General features: G+C 38.3%; 2 protein-coding genes, 1 long non-coding RNA gene and 1 other non-coding gene across 17 annotated transcripts in view, besides 2 other annotated features; 1 reads left to right on the forward strand and 3 right to left on the reverse strand.

Moving 5' to 3' along the window:
* The window catches only part of PTGER3 (prostaglandin E receptor 3), a 195,459-nt gene extending 194,148 nt beyond the window's left edge, over positions 1-1,311 (reverse strand). For all 12 annotated transcript variants that reach the window (NR_028293.2, XR_946714.3, NR_028294.2 and 9 more), the window contains exon 1: positions 176-1,311. Coding sequence is in view for 8 of the 12 variants with exons in the window: in NM_198717.2 (NP_942010.1) it covers positions 176-1,072 (897 nt within the window). In the remaining 4 variants the exon portion in view is untranslated. The remainder of the gene's footprint in view (positions 1-175) is intronic.
* ZRANB2-AS1 (ZRANB2 antisense RNA 1) lies at positions 1-20,679 on the forward strand. Its single transcript, NR_038420.1, has 3 exons — positions 1-1,084; positions 2,309-2,483; positions 20,261-20,679. It is a non-coding gene; the product is annotated as a ZRANB2 antisense RNA 1 (long non-coding RNA).
* Positions 725-1,308: an enhancer, noted in NCBI's record as "H3K27ac-H3K4me1 hESC enhancer chr1:71512913-71513496 (GRCh37/hg19 assembly coordinates)". NCBI's record gives its function as "activates a minimal SCP1, AML or CMV promoter by ChIP-STARR-seq in naive H9 embryonic stem cells {active_cell/tissue: H9 hESC(naive)}" and the evidence as "EXISTENCE:reporter gene assay evidence [ECO:0000049][PMID:30033119]".
* ZRANB2 (zinc finger RANBP2-type containing 2) overlaps positions 16,786-25,775 on the reverse strand; it is a 17,745-nt gene continuing 8,755 nt past the window's right edge. The window contains exons 6-11 of one of the 3 annotated variants that reach the window (NM_005455.5): positions 25,616-25,750; positions 24,322-24,491; positions 22,771-22,857; positions 20,271-20,429; positions 19,173-19,247; positions 16,786-18,632 (exon numbers count right to left, since the gene is read on the reverse strand). In NM_005455.5, coding sequence (NP_005446.2) covers positions 19,214-19,247; positions 20,271-20,429; positions 22,771-22,857; positions 24,322-24,491; positions 25,616-25,750 — 585 coding nt within the window. In that variant the 3' untranslated portion in view covers positions 16,786-18,632; positions 19,173-19,213. Of the gene's footprint in view, positions 19,248-20,270; positions 20,430-22,770; positions 22,858-24,321; positions 24,492-25,615; positions 25,751-25,775 lie in introns of all 3 variants that reach the window. The other 2 variants (NM_203350.3, XM_047434733.1) reach the window with 2 other exon arrangements.
* On the reverse strand, positions 21,126-21,211 carry MIR186 (microRNA 186). Its single transcript, NR_029707.1, has one exon. It is a non-coding gene; the product is annotated as a microRNA 186 (primary transcript).
* Positions 21,998-22,047: a silencer, noted in NCBI's record as "silent region_991". NCBI's record gives its function as "represses an Ori minimal core promoter by ATAC-STARR-seq in GM12878 lymphoblastoid cells {active_cell/tissue: GM12878}" and the evidence as "EXISTENCE:reporter gene assay evidence [ECO:0000049][PMID:35858748]".

Consider the following 25,775-nt stretch of genomic DNA (forward strand, 5'->3'; position numbering starts at 1 on the left):
AAGTGAGGAGCTCAGCTCTGAAGCTGTAACCAAGACCGCGCGGGCAGGAGGAAAGGACACTTCAGCGCTCTGCGGTTGCAAACACACCCCTGCGGGTGCTGCCACTTAGCAAAGTCTTAGGTTCCCGCTTACTCGCACACGCATCCTGACTTCCCCCAACCCTGGAACTACCTACCAGGAGCGGAGACCAGCAGACCGACAGCACGCACATGATCCCCATAAGCTGAATGGCCGTCTCGGTCGTGATGCGGCCCCACTGGGCACTGGACTGAGATGCCGTGGCCTTGGCCCGGCAGCGGGACACCAGGGCCTTAATGGTGGCCAGGTTGCAGGAAAAGGTGACTGTCAGCGCCAAGAGCCCCAGGAAGGCAAAGGCAGAGGCGAAGAAAAGGTTGCCCCAGTTATGCGAAGAGCTAGTCCCGTTGCCCCCTCGCCCGGTGCTGATGAAGCACCACGTCCCGGGCCACTGGACGGTGTACTGGCCCACGCCCAGCACCGGCAGCAGGGCGAAGGCGAGCACGGCCAGCCACACGCCGAGCAGCACAGCGCGGGTGGCACGCGTCTTCATGTGGCTCGCATACCAGTGCGGCGCCCTGATGGCCAGCGCCCGCTCGACGGCCATGGCGCTGGCGATGAACAACGAGGAGAGCCCGAAAACAGTCATGGTCAGCCCGAAAAAGGTGCAGAGCCGCCCCGACGGGTCGATGTGCTCCCAACGCTGCTTGGACAGGTACACGACGATGACGACCGGGGTGGTGAGAAGCTGCCCGACCAGGTCGGTGAGCGCCAGCCAGCCGATGCACAGCAGGAAGGACTTCTTGCGCTTGCTCTCCCGGCGCCGGTAGCTGCGCGACACGAGCAGCATGGCCAGTGCGTTGCCCACGAAACCAGTGAGCAGCATGGTGATCGGGAAGGCCACGGACACCGATCCGCAATCCTCGCCAGACCCTGGAGGGCGCGTGAGGTTGCCCCGCGCCTCGGCGGAACGCTCGGGCGCCCACATGCCTGTGTAGGAGTGGTTGAGGCGGGTGCAGAAGGGGGCATCCCCTCCGTAGCCCCGGGTCTCCTTCATGTTGGCTTCGAGGTGAGGAGGGGATGGCGTCCAGAGAGCCGCAGCGGGAGGGGGCAGACGCGGCGCGGGCGGCGGCGGAGGTCGGCGTTTACCGCGGCTGGGGCTGGGCTGCCCCCCATGGTGCGGGGCGCAGCCGCCGCCCTACTCCGCTGCTGGGACCGCGGCCGCGGCGGCGCCAGGGCTCACTGGCCCGGGAGGGAGCCACGCCTTCCTCTCTGGGAAACCTCTGGTGGCGAGGCGCGCGGAGGTGCCGAGTCCCCTTTATAAGGCCGAGGGGGCGGGGCGCCCGTGGGTGTGGACAGAACCGAGGTGGGAGGAGGGTGCAAAGCAACTGAGCGCCTCTCTTGGCTGTTGCCTATCCTGATCGCCTGGGTTGGGAAGCCCCAGACGGTCTCCTCTGAAACGCCCTGCTCCTGGCCGGACCGGGAGCCCACTGGGGTCTCCTCCAGTTCTCCGCTAAAGTGTCGGTGGACGGCAAGCAGCTAATAAGTAGCACTGGACTTGCGGACCCCAGGCAAACTGCCGAGGCGCACCTGAGCGCTCGTCCTCCTGCTTCTTCAACCACAAACGCTCCTACAGGGACGGGATCCTTCTCCTGAAGTCCTTTAGTAACTCTGGTAAAGTGAAAATCGCCTGTCCTTAAGCAATCCACACAAGCCTTTGCATAGCTGATCGTTAACTTTTTTCCTTTCTGCTTTGTGACTCTAGAGTGATTATAAAAAGGCCAAGGTGTCCTGTCCCCTGGGGTGCCGCTGAAAACTATAAAATTACTAGACAGTGCCTGTAGACTTAAGGGAATAGACACAGGGAAACAAATACATCGGATGGTTGAATTCCAAGACCAAGAAATCCCAACTACTACCCCTCGCCTAATCCTGCCCGCTCCCCTCCCCACCACCCAACAAAAAGGTCAGCTATGGCAAAAGTGGCTACAGGAAGGTGGCATCAATTTGCATATCTGAGGTAGTGAAATCAACTGCTCCCAGCCTATGGGAGTGAGAGGGGAGCAGAAGAGAAAGGTATTCCTTACAAAGCCTCCAACCATCCTTCTTATCTTCATACAATAAGAACTAGAAAAGGTATTCAGATGTTATGAAGGCCTTAATCTATATGGAAACTTTGCCTTTGAAATAATAAACATTGAATGAAAATAGGCATACTTGCTTGCCTCGTAACATCTTTCAGTAAGCCAATATTTTATGTACTTCTCACAAGCATTTTCTCATTTTATCACAGAAATCCTCCAAGGTACTATTGCTATTATTATTTCCCTTAAAGGTGGGGTAACTGAGGCCCCATGAAGTTAAAGAATGTTCCTGAAGTCTCTCAGCAATTCTCAAGTCCCATCTTATTTGAAGCATGTATTCCTGACATGGGTCCCATAACTGCTCTCAGCAGATGAATATTAACGGTGAGATCATCTTCCCCTAATCTTGGGAAAGTCTTGTGTTTTTTGCTTTTTGCCTTTTTACACTGTCTAAGAGATGAAAAGATTTTTAAAAATAATTGCAAAGTTCATTTTTCCTCATATTTAAGAAATTAGACTTAATCATATAGCACTCTAAAGACCATTATTTTGATTGACACAGATCAACTTTCAGAACAAGCCCAATCAGTTTTGCCTTTCCTAGCTTAGCTGATGTTCTGTATGGGTGTTCTTAACTTTTAAATTACTGTTAAGAGGTAAGAATGGGATATGTCCCTCTGCATACTTTATGTGCTGTTGTCTTGATTCTGTATGAGAGTTTGAAAAAATATCACTATAACATTATATGTTTTTTAAAGAAGGAAAAGCAAGAATGCAACTTAAACTCCATTTTAATAAGATGCATTAATCACAACATGAATTTCATTTTGTGTTTTGCTGTCATTTAAAAATGTTTTGCACTTTTGCGTTTTACTGACTAAAATGTCACGTTTACAATGGGAACAACAGCTAGGAAGGGTGAAATGGTTTGATTCTAAAATCTTCCGTAAACTTTTGTCTTATTATTTTGAATTAATCTCAAACCTGTATTTGGGATAGTATTTTTCTAGCCTAATATCATTTGAAAATAAAATAATATTTGAGGTTATTCTTAGACAAAGCTTTATCCAAAGCATTTGGATGAAAGTGGCTATCAAGTTTATACCATCTATAGTTAGTAAAATTCTAGTGTAATTCAATATTTAAAATTTAAGACCATATCACCATTCACACAGCAAAGGAAGCAAGGCTTATCTTTTTCCAGTTACATCAAAAACTATTCTCATTTTTATTCACAAATATTTGACTTCTTTGAAACTTTTACTTCTCCCACTGAAGTGCTTGCTGTAGCCAATTGGACTTGATAAGCATGGTAAGCGTCGGGGCATGTATTAGTAAAGAATTGTTAGCCTCTCACTAACCTCTATGCCAATGAACAAAATGTGTTGCATTTCAGATAATTTGGGTATTTCTCTTCTTTCAGCACTTTGCTTCATCCTATATTGTCTGCCTTTAGCTATTCACCTTGTAAACAAGTGACTGTGAGGTTTTGTGGAGTAACAGTGTGAAGCTGGCAGTTGGATTCTGGTTGGTACTTTCTGGTCAGTTACTACGGATATAGTGTGAATTGTGTTGGTCTGAAACAACACCACCCTCTAGTGACCAAAAGGCTAATAACATGCTTTATGCTGTTTTAAAGAGAATTTCCATAGGGCCAATGGATGCTTTGCTTAGGGAATCTCTGATTTCTTTCCTAGAGATCTACTTATCAGTACATAATTGTGGTCACTTTGTTTTCCTTTGAGGTTACAAATTGGCAACTTTGTTTAACAGTCAATAAACCAGTAGAGGATTAAACTGAAAGACCAGATATTCATTTTTTTTTAATTTAAAGTATATATTCACCTATTATGTTTTCAATGAAATTCTAACCTGGACATGTTTTAAATTCACAGATTACTTAATTGTACCCTACAGCTTAAAATGTATAATGTATGTCAATATTTAGCTAGTGATGATGAATTTATTTTGCTATTTACTTCTATTAAACATCTATTTAAAAATCTTAAATATGGATACAAAATAAGATTAATAATGAGTCACATGATCAGCCTTTGATTGCCTCACTATGGATGGAAAATATCTGAAAGTCTTTCTTCATGGAGCCAACCAGTAATTTTAGTTTATATTTTAGTCATTCATTCATTCAATAACCATTCATTGAGCACCCAATCTATGTCAGACACTGTTTCAGTCATTAGGGATACAAAAGCAATACATAACAGTGCCTATATTCATGGGGTTTATATTTTAGTGCAAAATTACTGATTCTAAGTGCCAAATAACAGGAGAAACACTGATCCCATGGCTTTTGTCTTCTCAGAATGATTGTCATGGAAGTACAGTGCAATGTAGACTTAACATTTAAACATCAATCAATGTAATTACTGTATCAAAATAAAAGCAATGCCTAGAAGTCTTTGCTAGATCAAAGAGTCCCTTTCTATGAATGCCTTTTCTGCTGTCTTTTCTTCCTATTCTTTACATGCCTGTTTTTTTTAATTGAAAACTGGACATTGTAATATATTGTAATGACTCTGGAGTCTACCGGGTTTTTTTCCCTGAGTATTATCTATTTTATGTTTGTTTGCTCTGTTTGACAGTTAACTTGTCCGGATTCAAACTGCCAATATTGCCTCCCATGGGGCATGCTGCTCTTGGTATCTCTGCTTCATTCTCATGGTTTTCCATGCTCTTTTAGCTTGGCTTCCTAGAGATTGATTTCCCTATGCCTGTGTAATTTGCTGGTCAGTTAGCAATGGAGATCACCTTCTGTGTGGGTTCCTTGATTCTAGGGATTCTCCTCTTATTTGCAGCTACTCTGCCAGCTTAGGGCTATTCCCTGACATTTAAAGTTTCTGAAGCTTCAGCTTTCTCCCACCCAAAGTACACACAGCACAGGGAGGAATACATCCCCTTAAGTAAAGCATCAAAGTAATCAAAGTAGATGTATTCTTGAATAATGGTTTTTGTGTGTGTTTTGTTTTTTTTTTTTTTTTTTTTTTTTTTTAGACGGAGTCTCACTCTGTCATCCAGGTTGGATGCAGTGGTGCAATCTTGGCTCACTGCAAGCGCCGCTTCCCAGATTCTCGCCATTCTCCTGCCTCAGCCTCCCAAGTAGCTGGGACTACAGGCGCCCACCACCACGCCTGGCTAATTTTTTGTATTTTTAGTAGAGACAGGGTTTCACCATGTTAGCCAGGATGGTCTCGATTTCCTAACATCATGATCCTCCCACTTTGACCTCCCAAAGTGCTGGGACTAGATTTCTATCTGGTCTTTGCTTGCTTTTTCCTCAGGCTTCATGTGGTCTCCTTCACTCATGCAGAGTTTGCTGTGAGACATGAATTTGGGTAGTTCTATCTCATTTCTTCTCTGGTTCTCATTACCAAGATTTCCTACTTAAATTTGCAGTGGCTTTTCAAGCCTTAACTCCAGTCTCTGGAACTTTTTGCCAGTAAGGCTATGATTTTTTTTTTTCTACCAGTATTTCCCATAGCCATAGTCATGAAGAATGGGCAGGATCCTCGATCCCAAAAACCAGTAAGTCATAATTTTTACTCCTTTCATTTGCAGGTCTTTTTTTCTCTTCTATGATTTCTGTATGCTTTTGAATGCCTTCCAATGCAATAGTTTAATAAAATTCAAATACTTGTTTTTACAAATTTAACTATATTTTACTATTGTTATATGCAGGGCAGCGTGATACTGGCATAAAGATAGGCATGCTATGGTTTGAATGTGTCTTCTCCAAAATTCGTGTTGAAACTTAATGGCTACTATGATGGTATTAAGAGGTGACGCCTTTAAGAGGTGGTTGGGCTATGAGGACATCTCTTGAGGGAATGGGATTAGCTGCTCTTACAAAAGGGCTTGACAGAGGGAGTTTGGTCCCTTTCTTGTCATCCTGACATGTGAGGACAGGGCAAGAAGGCCTTCACCAGAGACCAGATGATGGCGCCTTGCTTTTGAACATCCCCAACATCCAAAACATTGAGAAATAAATTTATATTCTTTATAAATTACCCAGATGTAGTACTGTTATAGTAGCACAAAACAAACTAAGACACTGATCTATAGATCAATGAAAGAGAGTATTATAGAGAGCATCATATATACACATATAGAGATATAGATATGTGTACACATATGCAGACATTCAACAGATTTTTGTCAAAAGTGTTAAGGTGATTCAGGAGAACAGTCTTTTTAACAAGTGGTGCTGGAAAAACTAGATAGCTGTATGGATATAAAAATGAACATAGACCTTACACCACAAAACAAAATAGATAATAGACTTAAATGTACCTGTTAAAACTATAAACCTCTGAGATTAAAAGAGGATTTTTCCTTGTGACATCTTTTCTCCTCTATCATTACTGCAAGTACTCCTACAGCTTTGTTGTTGCTGTTGTTGTATTGAACAACGTGTGATTATCTCTTTTAGTTAGTAGGCACAGAAATTCTATTGTTTTATTTGTTTTAAAGAGACAGTCTCACTCTGTCACCCACGCTAACGTGGCCTAACAGTGATGGACGGAGTGGGGAAACCCAACAAGGTTGCTTTGTACAATTCCCCTTCCCCTGGGTATGGGGCAGGACCCCTCGGGAATGAGGGGTTTTCCAGGGAGAAGGGACAGAGTGACCTTGCTAGGTTTTATGGCTATGTTTGGGAGAGAGGAGTTCTAGTTTCTATGACCTGCCTTGGGGAAAACAAATTCTGGTTTCTGTGACTCACTTTGTGGGAGAAAAGGGCACAGGAACCAGGAGGGAAGGACAAAGGCTAGGCTTCTGAGATCTTCCAGTCTCCTCTGGGTCAGAGTAGTCCACATGCCAAAGGGGCCATACTTTGGGGTTTAATGAGCCCTGACAGCAGGTCCTTGCAGATTTCACAGGCAACCTGTGATCTAAGTAATTGGCTTTCAGTCCCCCAATTTCAGAGGACTTTAGCAAAGCCTGGTTGAAATGGCCAAGTGTTAGAAGAATCTCTTCAAAGTTGAAATTCATCAAGTTCTTCAGCTGAGGGTGGAAGAATCCCAGATGTAAGGTTAGCAAGAGTTAGGACTTCTGGAGTCTTCCCCGCATGCCCTGGCTCTTGAGTATCAACAGGCCAGAAGCTCACAGTATCTGATCCTCCTGTGGCTCAGCAGGGATGCTTTAGAGCAGCATGTTTGGAATGAAACTGGCACACTTAATCAAGCCTCAAGGGCCGTTTGAAGTCATGTGTGGCCCACACTGGCCTCATGGGAACACAGGTGCTCCATGACCCAATAGGTTCAGGACTAGGTGGGGGGAAACTCCAACCCTGAAAACATCCCCCTGCTGTCTAGACCAGCCTGCCCCATGGCCAAGGGCAGTGAGAACCCCGGCCACCCCTTGGGTTGCACCCCTGCCAGTGCTAGAATTTTGCCCATCCTGGGCAGAAAAGCTCCGCATTTGGCTAAGGACATAACTGGAAAGAAATGCCCACGTTTTTCACTGTGGGGCATGAAAATACAGGGAGGCCGGAGCCTGATGTGTCTGCGGCCACCCAGCTGGAGGCGGATGGGCTGCGCTTCTCAAATTGCTTTGAGGAACGTTCTTTTAGTGGGGAGGGAGTGCCTTTCCTGAAGAAGTCCTTGGGATGGACATGCTGATCCTGAATGAGTCTTAAGAAGTACAGGTTTCCCAAGACCCGGAGAAGACAGCAAGCCTGTGTTCCCAGCCAGCGCTAGTGGCAGCTGGGTTCCGGGCAGGTGGAGCCGACGTGGTCTGGAGCCCGCAGCCACACTCTGGCACCTCCTCAGGCGGTTTTCAAGGGTGGGTTCCAGCCAGGCAAGTCCTACGCACTCCTGCCTAGGTGGCATGGCCACGGGAAGGACAGCCTCAGGAGGTAGATGGACAAGGACCCTCCTTGCCTGCTCCCTACAGGCTGTGTGCTGCAGGCCACTTTCAATGACCTACGTTCCCAAAACCATCAGGTCCCAACTTTGCTGGCACACGGTGTCAACTGGGGTGTCCCGCGGGGTGGGTGAGGGGTGCCAGGGACTCCTCCGGCCTTGTCACCCAGACCCCCACCCCTGTCCTTAGGGTCCCTGCACTCAGCGGCTGTTCTGGGGCCAGGCACTCTGGACCCCACGTGGTGCACATGCCGGAGCCCAATTCACTCGAGTCTGCGGGAACTGATGCTGCTGAAGACACCACTGTTCTCACAAACATCTCTGCTTGTGGATTCTTCTCAGTGCAAATGTAGCACCTGCTATGATTTTTTTTTTTTCTTTTCTGCTTTAGAGATGGGGGTCTTGCTCTGTTACAGCCCAGGCTGGAGTGCAGTGGCACAATAACGGCTCACTTGACTGCTCGGGTTTGAGCCATCCTCCCATTTCAGCCTCCTGAGTAGCTGGGTCCACAGGCACGGCGCCACCACGGCTGGCCTGAATTTTCTTTAATGGTTTGGAGTTCCCATCAAACTAAACGCTAATCAAAGGATAGCATTATAGAGTATGTGAAATTATAACATTAATACATGTGAGATAGGGCTGGCTGCTGTGAGAAAATCTGGCCAGTCTGGGAAGCATTAATAGGACTCACCTTGTTTTCCTTTCTCAGGTACTTCTCCACAGCCTTACATTCAATGTACTGAAAAATGCTGCTTGATACATTTTGTCTAGTTTGTTACAGGTTGAAGGGTAAATCTTGGCCTGAAGCAGAAGTCCTCTGCTCTTTTTTTCTCTGAATTACGTTTGATCTGCCAGTATTTTCCTGTATTCTTGAAAGTTTAATTGACTTAATTTTCTCTAATGTAGGCTTTCAAAGTTACACAACTCCAAGCACTGCTTTAGCTCAATCTCACAGGTGTTGACAAATTGTATTTTCTTTTTTCTTTCTTTTTTTATTTTTTGAGGCAGAGTCTCGCTCTGTCACAGAGGCTGGAGTGCAATGGTGCGACCTCGGCTCACTGAAATCTCCGCCTCCCGGGTTCAAGGGATTCTCTTGCCTCAGCCTCCCGAGCAGCTGGGACTACAGCGCGTGCCACCACGCCTGGCTTTTTTGTGTTTTTAGTAGAGACGGGGTTTCACCGTGTTAGCCACGATGGTCTTCATCTCCTGACCTCGTGATCCATCCGCCTCGCCTCTCAAAGTGCTGGGATTACAGGCGTGAGCCACAGCACCCGGCCTGATAAATTGTATTTTCATTCAAAAAAAAATCCCACTATTTGCTGACCCATGGGGATGTTTAATTCCAAACTTTTACTTTCCCCATTCTCTTATTTCCAAACTGAAAATACATATTACAAATACACAATTGGCTTTGTCAATTTATCTTAACCCTGTCTGATACTCTGGATTAATTGGTGTATAATCCACCTCTAGGTACGAGAGTTTAACTGGCTTGCTGTTTTGTCATTCTTTACCTCTTAAAAAACTAATTTGTATTAATCATTTTCATTACTCCCTTTTTCCCCACTACTTGTTATACCTTTATTATTCTTAGTGGTTATGGAGATTAAAATATGGTTCCATGATTTATTAGAGTCTACTTAAATAGTACTTTTACCATTTACTGAGGAATGAATCTCACAACAGCTCAAATTACCTACTTCCACTTTTGAATTTCCACATTTTAAACTTCTTAAAACACTATTGGTCTGTCATGTAGTTACCCTAAAATTTAGTGTTTTGATCATATAAATTTGTAATAACTTTAATTTGCTTAAGTAAGACTTCTTACTATTCCCTTCCCATCCAGTAGGGTTCTTTCTGATCTATTCTCCAAGCAGTGGCCAATTTGTATTAAAACTAGGTCACTTCAAACTGTTTACTATTTTCCAACTGTTCTTCGCATACCATGTAAATTCCCTTCTATGGCTTACAAGGTTTGTATGACAGGTCCTCTAACTCTACAACTCTGTCTTAGACCATTTTTTTCCCAAGCCATTTACTGGCTTCTCATCATATCCAGGAGCAGACTTAGCCCCGCGGCACTGAACTCTTAAAAATTCAGTTACCAAGTACAATTTGCCTGACCCCAAGGTCTTATACTTACTGTCCTAAGAGTAGTTTTATACACCAACCCCTTTTATATCCTTCACAGTAGCAATCGGAATTGTTCTCCTTGCTTCAATCAAGGTATCTCACGTTAGTTCACTACCTAGCATGCAGTAACGTAATTCATTAGTATGTTTAAATGTTCATACTGTGAATACTCTAATTTTTCAGATACTCTCAAATTACCCTCTAAAAGGCCCGTGCTAACTTATCCTCTAATTAAAAAAATTAAGGATTTTACAAAAATAGATCATACTGATTCAAATAGCCCCAGCAAATATAATCAAAAGGGCACTAAGCAATGATACCAGAATGCAGTGGTGCTTAAAATGCAGGTTCAATGTTTAATATTGTGTTAAATATGTCTTTGGAGTCCTTGAATAAGACTTTCTTTTGCATCTACATTAACAGATGAATAGTCTCCAAATGTAGAGAAAACATAGTGTAGGTTTGCTAATTTCCAATGGCTTCACCAAAATTACAGGTTAAACATTTTGTGTCTCTCTTATCAGTCATCAGTGCTTCAAAATGTAGTTTTTCACGGTCAGGTACCTGCCTTAGACTTTATGATACGCAATACTTTATGGGAGGCCTGAATTTAAACACATTTTCATTATCACTAATATGAGGAAAAAACACAAAACATTATTTTTATTATTCTTTCTTCCTTCTTAGCACTCTTCTATCCTAAGATTTTAGTGCCACAGGTACTATGGGTGCAGCCTGAGAATACTGAGGTAGTTTCTTCTGGTAGAATTAACTACATTCTCCTTAACCTTTCCCTTTTTGTGATTCTAAGGAATCAATAATAAGGAACAGGAGACATAATTGTGAGTGTGATATAGGGCAACACAATCTTGTGTCACAGTTGCTGATACCACATTAAAATTCTTAGGCTCTAATACATTATTCAAATTATAAGAATACAGATAACTTGTTTTCCCTGATCAGAATTTTGATACATGGAAATAATTGCTGAAAAAGCAACATTTTTGACAGGTTCACAGTCAACAGCTAGATTAGAGGTAACAGTGTCACTAAGAGTTAATACGAGGATAGACCATAATTAACTGGATTTGCTTCATCCAAACTGAACACTTCCATTTTAGTTTTGACTTTTAGGTGTTTTCACAGAAATAGCTCATTTACAGTTAGTGTTATGTATATAAGCCAAAATAAATGTCCAAACAATTTATCAGTAAAAATCTACTGGTCTAGTTATCAAGCAATAATGTATTTTATATTTTCTTGTTTGAAAGCTTTTTAACTATACTTATAAAATTCGGTTCTACCTAGTACATGATATGCCTGTTCGTAGTATTTTAACCTAACAAAGCATTTTGAACTCTATCATCTGCTCCTCCAAGTTAGGTAAATTACTTTTTGATTTGTTGCTTATTTTGCCAATGATGCACCCCAATGCACTTACTTCAGGATCATACATTTATAGGGAACTCAATTTACCAATCCATAGTGAAGTCCCTTAGGTTAATATTTTTGCAGAGGATCACACAGCATGTTAGGAAGAAAGCCAATAGTTGACCCCAAGTCTTACTTCCAGCATAGTAATTTTTTGTGCTTCTGTCCTTGGTGATATACAAATAATCTAATTTCAAAATGTATGCCAGTGAGGCTGCTCTTTCTCAACCTATCTTAGTTGTGTGTAATAAAATATAAGTTGGCATACTTTAAGTAGAAAATTGAGGACAATAAGGTTTATTTACATGTTCTACCCTCTCCTGAAGGATGGCTGGACAGATAACTTCAAAGTTTTTTCAGCTTATGAAGAAATGGCCTCCTTGGACTTAAGAAACAGAAAAAAGCTGGGCATGGTGGTTCATGCCTATAATCCCCGCACTTTGGGAGGCTGGAGGAGGATCACTTAAGGTTAGGAGTTTAAGACCAGCCTGGCCAACATAGTGAGACCTGTCTCTAAAATAAATATTTAAAAAGAAAAAAGAAAAGTTTCTCCTACAATGGTCTTACAAAGCTTTAATTTCAGAATAAAAACTCCTTTCACAATCAAAGAATGCTTTCCAGCGAAGAACATTTATTCTATCAGTAATGAGGAAAAAATACAACTGATCAAAACCTCTTTGAGAAAGGTAACAGATATTGACCCTCATCAAACATTTGAGTGCTTGCTATAATGACAAACACTATGCTAAGGGAGAGGGATACTGGGGAAGGAGAAACTTTTAGGAGTTTCACCCAATTCCCATTGAAAGGGAAGAGGCATCAGGGATGGCATCCTAGTGTTCTGAATTGAGTCATGAAAGCTAAATGAAAAAAGAAATGGTAGTGGGGTATGTGTAGGGTATCCCAGGTATAAGAAACTTGTACTAAGATGAAAGCCTATTAGTAGTTCAGCATAGTTAACGTAGCTAGTGTATAGGTTCTGTGCACCTAAGTAGGTTAGAATTGGGAGGTGGGGGTAGTGTGAGTCCTGGAAAAAACCCCTGAACTTTTTACTATATGCATAAGGATTGTAGTTGAATTCTGAAAGCCATGAAAAGGCACTGAAAGGGTTTAAACAAAGAAATAACATGAAATGAAATGCTCGTTAGTTAAGAGCATTCTAGCATCAGTGATGAAGTGATCAATGCTTGGTGAAAAAAATTCATTTAGCAAATATTACTGAAATCCTACTAAATGCCAAATGACCATTTAGGAAGAAACTACAATATCCTAGCCCACAAATCAAAGCAGTGGTAGTGTTCACAAAAAGGAAATCTAAGAGGATTATCAAGTACTGATAATGATGTTTATCAATATGAAATACAACATGAGATACAGGTTTGGTGAATAGAGGATTTAGGAAGAATTTAAATACAGTAAAATTGGCTGTCTGACATGTGAAGGGAGATACAGGCCAGGCGTAGTGGCTCACACCTATAATCCTAGCACTTTGGGAGGCCAAGACAGGAAGACTGCTTGAGTCCAGGAATTCGAGACCAGCCTGTGCAACACCGCAAGACTCATCGTGACAAAAAGAAAAAAAATAAAGGGAGATACACAGGAGGCAGCTAGATACATGGATCTGGTGCTCTAGAAAGAGTAAGTGGGAAATAGGCATCTGAGAATATATACACACACATGCATATATATATACATATATATTATTATATATATAATGTATATATAAACATATATATGTATAAACAAATATATGTATATATAAACATATATATGTATAAACAAATATATGTATATATAAACATATATACACATATATATGTGCATGTGTGTGTATATATGAGAAATATCTGTAAACATGGAGAAGGGATAAAAACTGCCAATATTTGCTGCATACATATATGCTACATTATTTATAATAATTCCCACAAGGTAGAAACGGTCATTTTCATTTTATAGGTGTTAACAACTTAGGCATAAAGAATGTCTCGAGTCACTCAGTTACCATTAACTAAATTGAAGTCAGTGGAAGAACCAGATAGTAACCAAATATCAGTCACAACTCTACCACTGCATCACACCCATTAAAGTAAACTTTAGTTCCTATTACTTTTAGGTTGGAGGTACTTAGCCTTTGTGATAACCTCACCAATAACAGGTCACAGATGTTTCATTTTAGGGTAGGTGCAAAATCCCACTGTTCTGTGTTCAACACTTAGCTATTCAAATTATCAATATTCTGTAGTCAGTATTCACTGTGGTCCAGTTTAATTCCAACAGCATTATTACGAAGTTCCCTGTCCTTCTCCGAGGTTTCCCACAGCCATGGTATTTTTAGTTCCCTAAAAACGTCAAATCTTCAGTGTTGCAAAGAGAATAACCTTAGCTTGCCTTATTCATCTATAAATTTGTCCTTCAAGACTGCAAGTCAACTCATTAAGAGTTTGCCTCTTTATTCGGGCAAAACTGTTCCTATTTTATTGGAGGCTTTATCTCTAACCTGAAGAACAGGCCCTCTATATTCATGAGTTCTGTATCCAGCATCCATGGATTCAACAACTGCAAATTAAAAATATTCAGGGGAAAAGAAAACCCTATAAAGTCCCAAAGACAATACTTGAATTTGCCACATGGTGTTATGCTGAATCTACGTGAAGTAATGTATGGCACTGTATTAGGGTTACTCTAGAGATGATTTAAAGTATATGAGAGGATATACATAGGTTACATGCAAATACCATGCTGTTTTACATAAGGAACGCGAGCACCCTTGAAATTTTGTTATCTGTGGGTGATCCTGGAACCAATTCCCCACAGACACTTAAGTACAACTGTATTTTATAAGAGCTTTTCTCGCACTAAATTGAGGTTAAGGGGAGGAGTTGTCCTATGCATTTTTAGCTTCAAATTTAGGTATTTTTCTTTGAAAAAAATTGTGTAGCTTTCCTCAAAATCTTTTTAGATACCTTTTAATCTGCATTGAAGTATTTCAAATTTACCAAGTTAATGTTAACATTTTTCTTATCCCAGCACCTTTTATTTTGCTAAACAAATATTTAAGAACTATTACTACATGTTTATTATTTATATCTGTGTGTAATATTACAACACCCTTATTCAAGCAGCCAGGTAGTTCGATGTGGCTGAGGGGAAAAAAAAAAACCATTAAATGTTTACTGCTCACTCTCAATGACTACAAATTTGGCTGTAATGCAATCTGGACCCATCCCTCCTCATACTGTAATTAACTGTGGAGGCTCTCATTTAATATTGAAGGCACCCCCCACCGCCTTGTCATGGCTCTAGACCCCATGTTTTCTCCTATTTGATACCTCTCCAAAAATTCTTCCCTCCCTCTCTCCATCTACTTTCCCCTCTAACAGAGAATAAAGGCTTGTCAAAGGTCACAAAAGCCAATATGAAAAATAAGTAACAAGTATAAAATAAATATAACTGAGTATATATATAAAAGAAATGGAGACAAATCTTTCTTATAGAAAAATTCCAAATACTGTGTAGATACCTAACCCCAAAAGGATATGGAACTTAATTCCCCCGTCTTATCATGATGATGGACTACACTTAGTATAACCTGATTTGAAAGAGTAACAGTAGGTAAAAGGAGAAACAGTAACTGCAATGGTGAATCAGGGCAAACCCTACCTTAACCAAATGACGAATGTTAACATTCCCAGTGAAGTCACAGGGTTATGATGTACCCTGCACAGGAAGTGACAAGAAAGACACTTTTCCTCTGTGTAGGAAGTGACAAGAAAGACACTTTTCCTCTGTGGTATTCTCTGCAAAACCCCATAATCCCAGTCTAATCGTGAGAAAAACCAGTCAAATACAGAATGCAGTGGTGGATATTCTAGAGGATACCTGGCTAGTACTCTCTTAAGATTGTCAAAATCATCAAAAATGAGGAAAGAATGAAAAACTGTCATAGAGGAGAAGAGAGCAGGAAGGTATTAGTAGTACAAGATGGTACTCTAGATTATGGAATATCTTAAGGGGAAAAATGATAACATTCTAGTAAAATCTGTAATGTAATTAATAGTAACATACCAACGCTGGTTTTGGTTTTGAGAAATATACACACATGGCAATTTAAGATGCTAATGACTGTAGAAAATTAGTGGGGATATATGAGAACTGTCTGCACAATCTTTGCAACTTTTCTTTAAATCTAAAGTTATCCAAAATAGTGTTTGTCTAACCTCCCTGACTATAATTGGCTGAAATTATATATTCTCTACCAAATTACCAGACTAAAAAATATCTGACTATCGGGCTTAACAATTTCACATTTATTTTCTCAAAAGAGTTTTGGCTTTTATTACACATAATACTGAAATTTCCCATCATGTTTGGGGGTGAATCCCTACTTTGCTATTCCTGTGGCTTCCTTGGGCAAGTTTTTAATTTCCCCGTGCTTTAACCCTCCTTTTCGCAAAACACAAGATATGCAAGAGTATATACTCTCACAAGATCATAGGGAGAATTAGATAATGCCTGCAAATCTCTCTCTCTCTCTCACACACACACACACACACACACACACACACGAAACTGTCTTTTAGTTAAACCTGTCTACTCAATTTCCCCAGAAATAGAAATACCATTTCCAGGTCAGGAAAGCCATGAGGGTATTTCTATTTAAAAAACATTTAAACCTTATGTCAAAAACAGGGGGCAAAGTGGAGAAATTCCCTACCTTCTTACCAACATCCACAACACTGGCTATGTACACAAGATAGCAAGAAGGGGAGATGACATGGTTTCAGAGATCTAATTTAGCTTGGTAATTGTGCCTAGAGATGATCTTCTATTTAGATCTAGTTCTGAACTTGGACATTTATTACCAGATATCATTCAATATTGTTTAGATGAAAGGACTCCAAATAGAAACTTAAGAAAACTTAGCTGTTAAGCTGACAGTTGAGTGCTTTATATAAGGTGACAGTTTAAGAGTAATTCAGGAAGCACACTACGATATGGTATTTTACCACATGGAATGAGGGATGTAATGTTCTGGCAAGAAGTGTGCAACTAATTTAGGAGCTCTCTATTTAAAACGAAAAAAAGGTTAAATTAAAAATTCTGAGGTTGCAGTGATAATGGCTTTGGAATTTAAAATACCAAGCACTCATATATAAAAGGTAGGTGAATATAAAGAGTGTAAAAAATTAACAAATCAAAGGTAACAGAAAACTGTAATTAGTTTAAAAATGAACATTAGATCAGAGTTTAAAAATCTCTAGTTTATTTCTAACAAACACCACTTGATGCTTGACTCACAGGCTTTATTTACATTTGTCTACAGTATCATTTCCTTATGAAATGAACTAGTACAGCTTAGTTAAACCAAATGAAATCATAATCATCAGAATTGTCTGTAAACTACTATTAGCTAAATTATAACCTTGCATTTGCTTAGTACAGCCAAAGTTTTAAATACAGAAAGCACAAGAATAAACCAATGGTAACATGTAGAATCTAGATCGTCGGGGCAATTTAGAAGGTAGACTTTCAAAAAGTCTGAGGCACAATTACAAGTGAGTAAAAGTTCTTGTGCAACCTACATAAACGCAGCAAAGAAACTTAAGACATAAAAACATGGGAAAGCTCACTGTAAAAATATTATCAAAATATTTCTACATAAGATATCTTGCTTTCATTTTTAGATCAGCTGAAGAGAAAAACATTCACTTTAAAGTAAAAACATATATTTTTGTTTGGTTTGTCTATGAAATATCTTAAAATGTCGTAATTTTTATTTAAATTGCAGCAGACAATGTTACGGAAAAAAAACAAGAAATCAATATCCCATAACAAAAAGCCCCCAAGCACAACTGTTGATTTCCTTTGATATACTTACCTTGCATTGTCACTGGAAATACTGTTAAGAGAAACCTTTTTATTTTTTAAACCAGAAAACAAACTAAAGCTCATGTGACCAGATTTTAATTTTGAGAAATAAACTCCAAAAGCATTTTAAGCCATAACTTATTTCAAATGAATAGGAAAAATAATGACTTTTGCTTACATCATGCAGCAATAAGCATTCATTTGTTATTCAGAAGAAAATTGTATGCAGTGTGTTTATAGTTAACATCTTGAGGCAAATGTTCACTTAAATTCACAATGTCTCCATTGGCCTTTCACCAAAAGAGAAATATACTTTAAAAGCTTACTTCAATTTGCTCATTAAGTATGATTTAGCCTTTTCTACCATATTATATTTGGTAACTACATTTGGAAGAATATCACACAAAGCTTCTTAAAACATTGGTAAACATTTTGAGATGTCTTTATCAAGCAACCGTATCAGCAGAGAAAAGATAAACTCTTAAGACTTTCTTTTTTGCCCCAAATTATGTGTCAGAAAGGAAAATATATCCCACTTCTCTCCTTGTAGACATCACAAGATTCTTTTGCATTAAATGTGGAGCAAAAAAGTAAAGCTGGATAAAAGAGACACAATGATTCTAAGGCACCCTTAGCATAGGGAATTTCAAAATAGACATTTACAGTTGGCTGCTTACAACATAGTTTAACTTTTTTTGGTGAGAATCACTCTGACATCTGTTAACAGCATAAAAAGGCTGACTTTCTTTTCCATAAGTATGTTGTTTCCAACTAGTTTCCAGTCTTTCTTCCATGCCCAAAGTTCAGGCAAGCCTAGGTAATCCTGTCTTAGCCAATGGACAGGATGTATTTGGAAATGACAAAAATGGGTTTAAATTAGGAAGCAAAGTACTTTGTTATAGCTGAAATGGTTTTAAATGAAGCAAATGGTTGTAAATAATGAATGACAGAACATCTATTTTGGGACATTATGGCTTAAAATGCTATTTACTTTTAACTTCACAAATAAACACAGCTGTATTGTTTTGAAAAGCAATGAAAGGCATGCACCTCTACTAGCAGATTTAGCACTTCTGACCAAGTAAGACACCAACTTCTTTAAAAATATGCTTCATGCACTGTACTGGATTTTTTTAAGATGTAAATTTTAATACATTATTTCTTTTTTGAACTTGAACGGGAACCAGAATGGGATGATCCAGATGATGACCTGTGGCGTCTGTAAGACATAATGGAGAGAGTAGGCATTCTAGTAAGCTAGAGCTAAATCTCAGCATTCATTCTTAAGACTGTGAAAGTATACAAAATTCAGTACCATGATGCTAGCAAAAAAATTAAAAATTGAGATAGGAACTTACACACATAAAATTATCTGATGTTTAGACTTTGGATATGAGCCCAGTTATCATATAAATACAATAAAAAATTCTCTACAATTTCAAAAGAATCTCATTTCAAAATATAGCCACCTCTCAATTATTTAAGATATCAAAGAAAAGCCTTGCAAAAATGTGTAAAATTACAGAAAATGTACAACAAAAGCATATAAACTTGGTAATGGAAGTGTGACTAAACCAATCCCTGTGACACGGTGTAGAAAGTGTAAGAAGTCTATTATGTAAAAAAGATACAGCAAGGCTTCTGTGTATGAGAAAATATACTCATAAATAAGTTTTGGAAATCTAGGTCACACAAGATGATTGTACAATTTGCTATAGGGTTATATTCATGCAGCTAGTATGAATAAGTCAATATCAACCTGGGTAAAGTAGTGGTGTTCCGTAGGGGTTGGCCCTGGGCTCAGGGTTGTTTAGTGTTTTCACCAATCACCTGGCTTATGGAATAGAGAACATGTTCATTAAGTTTAGATGACAACAAACTAGGGGGATTATATGTGGCTAAGATAAAAATTTGCAGAAGTGGTAAGAAAGCAACAGAATGAATTCCACTCAAAAACAGAGTAATTTTTTTTACAAAGAAACAAATGCAGAGAAACAAGACTGTGTGAAATCTTAACATCTAAACTCCAAAATGTGAAGAAGCAAAACTAATCATTCTGTACAAGTAGGAATCATGAGATAATCCTACCACTGAACCCAGCAATTAATAGACTTTACATAATCTTTATTTTCACAAGCTAATAAAATATGAAAAATTTGCAAAGACTACAAATAAAGCCATTAAAATGACTATATAATTGGGAACAAAGAGAAAATTAATGAAACTGAGTAATTAGCCTGTTGCAGAAAAGGCTGACAGATGACAGTTGCATTCTTCCAATATTAAAAGTGTCAGTACAGATAAAGTAACCTAATATAGGCCTTTCTCAAAAAAGATTTGGACTGCAAAATGAAAAATGTATTAGCTACAAGGAATAATTTCCTTATAGACAAAGGGCATGAAGCAATTTGCTGTGGAAATGCATTTACACATATTTAAATGAGGACAGATTCCCAATGATCTGAAAGTTAATTTTTTATTAGATGCTCTAGAATTCTTGACTATTAGTATTTAAAGAAGCCTAAGTATAAAAGTCAACTCATAAATTACTTCGACATACAGCTTCTGAATTGCAATCTCAAAAGACAGAAATAACCGAGAGTTGGCTATAAAAATTATAAATGGAACTAAAAATTTAAACAATAAAATGATCAAAGAATGGTTTGATCTACAATTCTAAACAACCTGATCAAAGTACAAAGGATAAGCAAAGTAATGTTTTTTTGAAGTTCAAAGTTGAAAAGTAGAAAGTCGGAACACAAGAGATAATAAAAATCTAACCCTTGACTAGGAAAGTTTACTTTATCTATTAAACACACTTAAGAACACCCATTCTTATTTCTACAGAAACCCAAACCTTTCGGGTGACCGTGATCTTGTTCGTCTTTTTTTGCGATCACCAGATGAAGAAGATCTAGAACGACTTCTCTTTCTGTTCCTCTCAGGAGAAGATGATGAACTTGAATAAGATCTTTTTCGTGGGGAAGAAGAGCCCCTGTGGGACCTGGAGCTGGATCTTCATTGATTGAGAAACAAATCAAACATTTCATTAAAAGAAGAAATAAGGAAGATTATTTAGTTATCAGATAGCTCCAAAAATAAACAGGATTTATAACAACTATGAAAATTTTATAAGGAAGAATACTTACTGCTTATTCAACAGAAGACTTCTGGATCAACCATGAAAACATTCTACTTAAACATTTTAATTTTGTCTCTTTAAAATTCTATCATGTGTAATTAAAACCCTGCTTACTATATCAAAATAGAATTTAAACTTTTTTTAAGGCTTTTCAAAGTATACACAAATATTATAGTATTATAAAATCAGCAGATAACTGCATTAACAGGACTTTACGTTTAGGAACTACATCCTTCCATTTGAGGATTAAAATATGTATCTTATATACCACTTCCTGAGGAAAATAAACATAATTCCATGTGGAATTATTCAACTCATTAAACTGTTATGGAAAAACCAGGTATATGGCACAGCAACAAAAGACTAGTAACTGTACTTAACTGCTAAATATTCAAGAAGAAATAAAAACTAACTTTAAGATGATTTATATTTACAATACTATTTTTATGAAAACCCACTACTTATGAAATATGAAGTGTTGACATTCACATGCTTCAGGTAGAAGTAAATGTGCAAATGTTTAAATACAAATTTTTTTTCTTCACTTGTATATTTTGGTTGAAGGAATTTAGCTCAAACTTCCCAAAAAATTCACCTTTGGGCTTAAAATAAAACCAGAAAGCCCAAAAGGAGAATTCTTTGGAAAGTTACAAGCAATGAAAAAATGTTTGGGAAGAATATGATGGGTGTTCTGTAAACCTTAATTATAATGGTTCCCAAAGGGAATACCAGAACTTAAGGATTTTTACCTATAAAGCGCTTAAATATTGTTACTAAATAATGGTAACAATAAAAAATAATTTGCTCTCTACTTCTATTTTTTTTTTTTTTTTTGAGACAGGATCTTGCTCTGTTCCCCAGGCTGTGGTGCAGTAGCATAAGCATGGCTCACTGCACCCTTAATCTCCAGGGCTCCAGTGATCCTTCCACCTCAGCCTATAAGAACACACCACCATGCCTGGCTGGTTGTTTTAATTTTTATTTTTAGTAGACGAGGTCTCACTATATTGCCCAGGCTGGTCTTGAACTCCTGGGCTCAAGCAGCCCGCCCACCTTGGCCTCCCAAGGTATTGGGATTACAGGCGTGAGCCACTGAGCCTGGCCTTGTTATCTATTTCTTATTGGCTTATAATGCAAGTGTGCACAACATTCTTTTCTCCTTAACATGATTATACTGTGGCAGCCCTTTAATGCTAAATTTGATTCAAAGCAGCAAATACTTTTACCAAAACAGCCACAGTTAGACTTCAATATGAATTTCCACAAATATGGAATTTCATTTTCTTATTTATTTTTTAGATGCCTTTAGGTCATAATAAATTAACTTAAAAACAAAGAGAGCATATTTTGACTAAACAAAGAAAAATTTCCTGCAAGAGCATCTTTCAAATTATGTTTCCCTCTACAGATGTGACTACATGCAACCTGAAACTTTAGAACACTGTTTACTACTTAAGACCACATCCTATCTCAACTAACCGACTATACTTCCTGATTTAGTTTTGAGTGTTTTGTGCTCTATAAATAATAGCGTGTGTAAAATTAGAAAGGAAAATGTATATACAGTACTCTAGTAACTTTATCTGATATAAATGGCAAATTTGTTTCTGAAAATATTGAAACAACTGCCGTGCAAAACAGGACCTGTTTTGAGGCAGGGTTATTTTTCTTCCTTTTAATAATGAAGAAAATTTTTCTTTTTATTTACATATGTAATTTTATTTGAACTACTATTAATTTTTTTTTTTTTTGAGACACTCCTCTGTCACCCAGGCTGGATTACAGTGCTGTGATCAAGGTTCACTACAACCTTGAACTCCTGGCCTCAAGTGATCCTCCCACCTCAGCTTCCCAAAGTGCTGGGATTATAGGCATGAATCACTGTGCCTGGCCATATATAATCTTAATATACTAGAGATGTGGCGATAAGACTTGGCTTCATCTTCCTACTTCATAACATCTTAGTGCCAAAATAATAAACGCTGCATATTGCAAAATAGCCACCTGATTTCAATCATGGGAATGTCTTGGCACACTGCTGGCAATGGAAACATTTCATGGTGAGAAAATTAAGCTGAGGCAAGTGCATTAGTTTTCTAATGCTAAAATAAAATCGACAAGTAGAAGCAAAATAAGGGGAAAAAAAGCAGCAACACCTTCTGCAGCCTTTAAATATTTTTCTCTCTGCTTTACAGAGAGATGCTACCTCATTCACCTTGATTTCGACCCACGAGATCTCGAACGTTCTCTGGAACTGGAACGAGATCTTGACTGCGAACTGGAAGAACTTCTTGAACGGGACCTGGAACAACATGGAACGATTTTTTTTTTCCAGGACCATTTAATTGAGCTTTGTGATATGAACACTGAAAGAAAGATATGTATTAGAGTTCATTTTCATATAAAAAGATAACTATACAAGATATATACTTTCAAAACATAGTATTTTAAATTAGATAAGATTTAGTAACAAAAGGTAATTAAAAAAATATCACTTTCCAGGTGATTAAATTACCCTAAAGCCACTCAACTATAAAACAAAACATTATCACTTTATTACAAAAACAATGAATACTTTGTTTACAAGTAACTAGAAGCTACCCAGAATACATCCAAGAAAACAGAATGTTGCGATTTATACTTAATTTCTCTAAAATGTCTCCATCATTTTCCTTTATAAATCCCCTTCTATTTTTGTTTCTAGTTAGTACAAAGTTTTGAATGTTGGCATGTGTGTATTTCATCCCTATATTTTTCTGTTTACTCAATGCTTAGAGAATTAAAGGGAAAATGTATAATTCTGTCATTGTTAGGTAATTATATTATTGGAAAATATGACACAAGGGAGACATGGTTCGTACAAATTTTAAAACTCACAAAATTCATTAATCTAATTTACAACTATAATTTGTCCCTTATAATAATACCCTGTAGAAAAAGATCACTATATTTTTACCAAAAAATTACTAGTTATAGCCCCACTTTGTTAAGCTTTCAGGCTTTGTAGTGCTCAATTAACATATATCTAATTGTTATACACTAATATCTAGTATTTTATTCCTAAATATGATTAAAATTCATTGCCCATGCCATCACTTAACTGTGATTAAGGTTTTTCAAGAGGACACTGTTAAATTTAAATCACTGCTTTCACTCACCTAAAATTTTATTTTTATTGTTAACTATAAAATCAGAGATTACATATTTTACATCAACAAACAATATTCAAGTACACCAAAAGAGTTTTAGTTTACGCCTGGACTTCTCAAAATTATGAGCATGAAGTCAACAGAACTAATATGGCTGAATTTGCTCCGTTATTCACAATACTGATATCAAAGCAAACTATTAAAAACATTATGTAATAAGCAATGATTTAATGCCTAGAAAATTTCTGTGCTAGCCTTTAACATCTTGAATGAAAATACAGATCTCCCCTTTACTTAATTTCTATATGTAAGCTATCTCTTTAGATTAATTAAATATAAGTGTATATAAAAATTTAATTCAGTTTTTAAGTCTATTTTAGTCAAAAGCATGAGGCTAAAATAGGTTAAGGAAGTTTCATGCTAAGACTTTACTTTTCTAAAAATACTGGACAACAACTGTATGGTACTAAGCTGAAAAATTATTTTAAAAGTTGATTTGAATTAAATTTTTAAAATAAAAAGGAAAGTTTATTTCGTCAAGAAAAACAAAATTTATAAATAAAAAAGTTAGATACTGACATTTTGACTGGTGTTACCCTTGACCTGTACCCGTTTACCTGGACCTAGACCTTGAACTTGAGGGGGAGGATGAGCGTGATGAAGATCGTGAATGTGAAGATCGAGACTTTGAGCGACTTCGTCTATTAGATTTCTTTTTATTACTATCTTCTTCTTCACTGGCATCAAGATTATATTTTGAGAGATCAGCGTCATCTTCATCCTCATCCTAACAAAAATTCAATTATAATTAGACATTTAGATATTAGTGTTACCTACCAGGAAAGATAAAACAGTTAGGTGTACTGAGCACCTCCATATGCATATATCACAGGTATCTCAGCAAATTAATTCTGAATTCTAAAATTCACCTACTAAACTCATCTCAAATAGAGACTTGACAACTTTGTCTCAGGTATTGCACAGACATAAACCTGGAGGCCATACACACTTTTTCTGTCACACTTATGCATCACCCAAGAATTTTCAAGTCCACCTCCTTAAAAGTCCTTGAAATCACCATTTTTAGTCTTAGACACTCTGTTCCTTATTCTCTAGCATATTATAGTAACCTCTTAGCTGGTCTCCTCAAATCTGAAGATCCATTCTGCCTCTCTAGTATCTCAATATACTGACAGTCATCACTCTGAAACACAGGACAGATAAACACATCTCACTTTTTTCTTAAAAACTTCAAAACTGGCTTATTATTTCTTTAGTTGCATTCCAAGACCTCTTATGATCAGGCTCTAAGGTACCCTTAACATGGCATAAAACTTACACTCTGGCCTGACAGAACAAGTATCACCAGACCTGAAATGTGTGCTGTCCCCCTCATCTCATTCTCCCCTCTGCTCTAACTATACTGGCCTATGTATGGTATTTTTGAAGGCTGCTGGCTTATCTCCTATTTAGGGAACCCGTATTTGCTGTTCTCTGCCTAAATGTGCTCTCACCTCGGCTCTTATTGCTGGCTCCTTCCTATCATTCAAGTTTCAGCTCAAACTTCACCTCCTTAGACATTATCCATCGGCAAAACCAAAGTTGCTTTTAAACTGTTATCACATCATGTGTCTTCATAACGTTACTGCTATCAAAATTACCTATTTATATATTTCCTCCTCTAGAACTGTGTAAGAGAAAACTGGTTCTGTTTCGGTCACCACTGTATCTCCAGAACAGTAGTGTTCCAAGTACAAATAGTACTTGGCAGAGTGGAAATCCAAAACCTTTGTGAGAACAAATGAAAACACAGAATATATTTTCACCAAGTGTCTGAGGCTGTCAAAAGCATTCATGTTATGGTATAACTCCAATAAGACAAAAGGGAAATAGGACAAGAAAATTGTTCACCTCATCTAACTTATATTTAGAAAGATCTTCATCCTCATCCTCTTCTTCTCCCTCTGATTCTTTATCTTCAACTTCCTTTAATATAGATGCAGGACCAACTGCTTTCCCTCTGTATTTTTTCTTTTTACGTCCAAACTAGAGAAAAACAATTTCAAAATGC

The sequence above is a fragment of the Homo sapiens genome, chromosome 1, assembly GCF_000001405.40.
Source record: "Homo sapiens chromosome 1, GRCh38.p14 Primary Assembly".
Taxonomy (NCBI): Eukaryota; Metazoa; Chordata; class Mammalia; order Primates; family Hominidae; genus Homo; species Homo sapiens.